This window comes from Homo sapiens, chromosome 16 (assembly GCF_000001405.40).
Source record: "Homo sapiens chromosome 16, GRCh38.p14 Primary Assembly".
NCBI classification, from domain to species: domain Eukaryota; kingdom Metazoa; phylum Chordata; class Mammalia; order Primates; family Hominidae; genus Homo; species Homo sapiens.
This window is the reverse complement of record NC_000016.10, coordinates 18,565,271-18,571,247: the sequence shown is the minus strand read 5'-3', so window position 1 is coordinate 18,571,247 and position 5,977 is coordinate 18,565,271.

Here is a 5,977-nt window from a genome sequence, read left to right as displayed (position 1 = left end):
CGTCTGTCTGTCGCTAAGTCTCTGGGCAGACTGCTCGGCCGCGATCCTGCCGGAGAAGAGGCGGGGCTGGGCTGGTCGGGCTAGGCTGGTCCGGCTGGGATTCGAGCTCCGGGATCGGGAGGCCCCGGGCAAGGTCCAGCTGCGCGGCGGGAGTGAGGCCACGGGAGGTGAAAACAGGCGAGGTGGGGGAGGGGGGAAGAGAGGCGCTCGGGGAGCTGGGACGGGCACCGGGTTGGGGGGTCCCGGAACCCCTGAAAGTTCAGTGACACCTCCATAGTTCCCTCTTCCCCCTGCAACAAGAATCACTCCAAACTTCCCAAACACTTTGGACCCAGCAATTTCCAGGAGTTCATCCTGATGAGAGAACTGAAAGGTGTGCACACGTTAGTAACAAGGAGGCCTGGTGACCGCCTAAGCGTCCAATCGCGGGGACCACCGGGTCGAGGCCGAGAGGATGGAGACCGCATCACAGGCACCTCGCTGCTGGAATGGAGGGTGGTGGGGAGAACTTAGAAGATTATGCAATGGGCTGGCAGGGCTATACCCAGCCGCCCTGGTAAGCAGAAACTCAAGAAACCTCTAGGGTCCTGTTTTCTGGTCGTATGATCCCAGGAGTGCACATGAGCCCCTCGGGTGTCTGAACAGAAGGGCATAGGAGGGAGGGCCGCAGCCCTGCAGTCTTACTCTGCTGGTGTAGCGGTCACCTGCCAACTCCCACCCCACCCTGCACCGCGGGCTCCTGAGTCGGCAGATTAAGCATTTTATAAATTCTATTTTAAATACGTGTTTTAAACTTGTCAGATATTTGTCTTCATTTCAGTCCCTGCGCCTCTACCTCTTGCTGTGGTCGCTTATTTAACACTGGGGGGCTACGTTCTGCTAAGTCCCAGGGAGAGACTGTTCCTAATATCCGAGGGAGATATTATTCCTAATATCACGCTGGGTGAACACCACGTGTGTACAGCCTCTGATACGATTGGTAATATCCAAGGGAGATATTATCCTAACATCCCAGTGGGTGAACACCATGTGTGTAAACGCTGTGGTATTATTAGAAATATCCAAGGGAGATATTACTCCTAATATCACAGTGGGTGTACATCCTGTGATATTATTCATAATATCCGAAGGAGATTTTACTCCTAATATCACAGTGGGAGTACACACTGTGATATTATTTATAATATCCGAGGGAGATTTTACTCCTAATATCGCAGTAGGTGTGCAACCTGTGATATTATTCATAATATGCTAGAGATATATTACTCCAGTGGGTGTACACTCTGTCACAGAATTCGTGATATCCTAGGGAGTTATTACCGCTAATATCACAGTGAGAGTACACCCTGTGATATTATTCATACTATCCTAGAAAGATATTACTTTTAATATCACAGAGGGTGGACACCCTGTGATATTATTCGTAATATTCTATGAAGATATAACTCCTGATATAACCGTAGGTGTATACCCTGTGATATTATTTGTTATATCCTAGGGAGATACTACACCTAATACCACAGTGGGTGTACACCCTGTGATATGATTTGTAATATCCTAGGGAGATATAACTCCTAATATCACAGAGGGAGTACACCCTGTAATATTATTCATAATATCCTAGAAAGATAATACTTTTAATATCACAGTGGGTGTACACTCTGTGATAATATTCGTAATTTCCTAGGGAGATACTACTCCTAATATCACCTTGAGTGTACACTGCGTGATATTATTCATAATATCGTAGGGAGCTATTGCTTTTAATTTCACAGTGGGTGTATACCCTATGATATTATTCATAATATCTTAAGAAGGTAGTACTCCTAAAATCACAGTGCCTGTACACACTGTGATATTATTCATAATATTCTAGGGAGATGTTACTCCTAATCTCATAGTGGGTGTACACCTTGTGATACTATTTGTAATGTTCTAGAAAGATATTCCTTTTAATATCACAGTGGGTGTACACCCTGTGATATGATTCGAAATATTCTAGGGCGATATTACTCCTAATATCCCAGTGAATTTACACCATGTGTGTACACGCTGTGACCTCCCAGAAAGATATGACTCCTAATATCACAGTGGGGGTACACCCTGTGATATTATTTGTAATACCCTATGGATATCATAATATCACAATGAACGTACACCATTGTGTACATGCTGTGATATTATTTGTAATATTTTTGGGTGATATTACCCCTAATGTCACAGTGCATGTACATCTTTTGATATTATTTGTAATATTCTGTGGAGATATTGCCCCTAATATCACAGTGGGTGTATACTCTTTGATACTATTCGTAACATCCTGGAAGATATTATCCATATTGTCACGGTGGGTGTACACCCTGTGATATTATTTGTTATATTCTGGGGATATACTATTACCCCTAATATACTGTGGGTGTACCCCCTGTGATATTATTCACTATATCTTGGAGATATAATATTACCCCTAATATCACAGTGGGTGTATACTTTGTGATATTATTCATTATATCCTGAAGAGATATTATTTCCTTTAATATCACAGTGCATGTACACCTTGTGATATTATTTGTTATATCCTGGGGAGATACTACTATATTACTCCTAGTATCACAGTGGCTGTACACCTTGTGACACTATTCATTATATCCTGGGGAGATATTATTACTCCTAATATCACAGTAAGTGTATACCCTGTGCTATTATTCATAATATCCTGGGAGATATTACCTGTATTGTCACAGTGGGTGTACATCCTGTAATATTATTTGTAATATCCTGGGGAGATATTATTACTCCTAATAGCACAGTGGGTGTACACCCTGTGATATTATTGGTTATATCCTGGGGAGGTATTATTATTCCTAATATCACAGTGGGTGAACATTCTGTAATATTATTCATTATATTTTGGGGAGATATTAATTCCTCTAATATCACAGTGGGTGTACACCCTGTGATATTATTCATTATATCCTGGGAAGATATTATTTCCTCTAATATCACAGTGGGTGTACACCCTGTAATATTATTCATTATATCCTGGGAAGATATTATTTCCTCTAATATCACAGTGGGTGTACACCCTGTGATATTATTTGTTATATCCTGGGGAGATATTATTATGTCTCATATCACAATGGGTGAACACCCTGTGATAGTATTCGTTATATTTGGGGAAGGTGTTATTACCCCTAATATCACAGTGGTGTACACTCTGTGATATTATTCATTATGTAGTGGGGAGATAGTATTACCCATAATATCACAGTGGATGTACACCCTGTCATATTATTTGTTATATCCTTGAGAAATATTATTATTCCTATTATCACAGTGGGTGTACACCCTGTGATATTATTCGTTACATCCTAGGGAGATATTGTTACCCATAATATCACAGTGGATGTACACCTTGTCATATTATTCGTTATATCCTTGAGAGATGTTACTACCCCTAATATCACAGTGGGTGTATACCCTGTGATATTATTCGTCAAATTTTCTGGAGATATTATTACCCATAATATCACAGTGTGTGTACCCACTGTGACAGTATTGATTATATCTTGGGGTGATATTACTCCTAATTTCACAGTGGCTGTATCCCTGTGTTTACACCCTGTGATGTTATTCATAATATTTTAGGGAGATATTACTCCAAATATCACAGTCAGTGTACACCATGTTTGTACACCCTATGATATTATTTGTAATATTTTAGGGAGATATTACTCCTAATATCGTTGTGGGTGTACAGCATGTTTGTAAACACTGTGATATTATTCATAATATCTGAGAGAGATATTACTGCCAATATCACAGTGGGTGTACACCCTGTACACCGTGTGATACGATTCATAATATCCGAGGGAGATATTACTCCCAGTATCACAGTGGGTTTACACCCTGTGGTATTATTCATAATATTCAAGGGAGATATTACTCTCAATATCACAGTGGATGTACACCCTGTGATATTATTTGCAATATCCGAGGGAAACATTACTGCTAATATCACAGTGGGAGTACACCCTGTGATATTATTTGTTTTATCCTGGAGACATATTATTCCTATTATCACAGTGGTTGTACACCCTGTGATATTCTTCGTTATATTCATGGAAGATGTTATTACCCCTAATATCACAGTTGGTGTACACCCTGTGATATTATTCGTTATATCCTGGGGAGATATTATTACTCCTAGTATCACAGTGGGTGTACGCCCTGTCATATTATCCATTACATCATGGGAAGATATTATTACATCTAATATCACTGTGGGTGTACACCCTGTGATATTATTTATTATATCCTGGTGAGATGTTATTACTGCTAATATCACAGGGTGTGTCAAATTTTCTGGAGATATTATTACCCTTAATATCACAGTGGGTGTGCACCCTGTGTGTACACTCTGTAATACTATTCGTAATATTTTAGGGAGATATTACTACTAATATCACAGTGGGTGTACACCCTGAGGAGATATTACTTCCTCTGATATCACAGTGGGTGTACACCCTCTCATATTATTCGTTATGTGCTAAGTAGATATTATTACCCCTAATATCACAGTGGGTGTACACCCTGTGATGTTATTCCTTATATCCCAAGAAGATATTATTATAACTAATATCACAGTGGGTGTACACCCTATGATATTATCTGTTATATACTGGGGGGATATTATTTGTAATATTTTAGGGAGATACTACTCCTAATATCATAGTGGGTGTACTCATATTTTACAGATATATTACTTTTAATATCACAGTGGGTGTACACCCTGTGTGTACACCCTGTAATATTATTAGTAATATTTTAGGGAGATATTACTCCTAATATCATAGTGGGTGTACACCATGTTTGTAAACCCTAGGATATTATTCATAATATCCGAGGGAGATATTACTCCCAATATCACAGTGGGTTTACACCCTATGATATTATTTGTAATATCTGAGGCAGGTATTACTCTCCATATCACAGTGAGTGTACACCCTTCTATATTATTCATAACATCTGAGGGAGATATTACTTCCAATATCAAAGTGGGTGTGATAATATCTGAGGGAGATATTATTCCTAATATCCGTGGGAGATATTATTCCTAATATCTCAGTGGGTGTACCGCGTCACAGTGGGTGTGCACTGTGTGATATTATTCATAGTATCCAAGGGAGATCTTACTCCTAATATCACAGTGAGTGTACACCCTGTGATATTATTCTAATACCCAAGGGAGAGCTTTCTCCTAATATCACAGTGGGTGTACACTCTGTGATATTTTTCATAATATCCGAGGGAGATAGGATGGAGACCACGTCACAGTCCCCTCACTGCTGGAATGGACACTGTCTACCCGTGGAGTGGTGGGGAGAACTTAGTGAGATTATGCAAGCGTTTAGCACACTGCCAGATATACATTAAATGCTCAGAAGACTTAGCTTTTATTGTTACTGTTATAATTGAGGCCATGGGTTACTAACCAGTGGTTTAAAATGCCATTGCAACTGGGCACGGTGGCTCATGCCTGTAATCCCAGCACTTTGGGAGGCTGATGAGGGCGGATCACTTGAGGTCAGGAGTTTGTGACCAGCCTGGCAAACATAGTGAAACCCCGTTTCTACTAAAAATACAAAAATTAGCTGGGTGTTTTGGTGCGTGCCTGTAGTTTCAGCTTCTCAGGAGGTTGAGGCAGGAGAATCGCTTGAACCTGGGAGGCGAAGGTTGCAGTGAGCCAAGATTGTGCCACTGCACTCCAGCCTGGGTGACAGAGCGAGACTCTGTCTCAGAACAAGCAAACAAAATGCCATTGAAGACATATATGAATATGAAAAGGTGGTTGCTAAATGATGATTGAATAAAAGAGATTATAATATAAAATAGGCTTTGGTTTTTTTAAAGCAAAAAAGAAAAGGATATGCCTAAATTAGGGAACATGGAGAAGAAGGCCAAGGCATTTACCTTC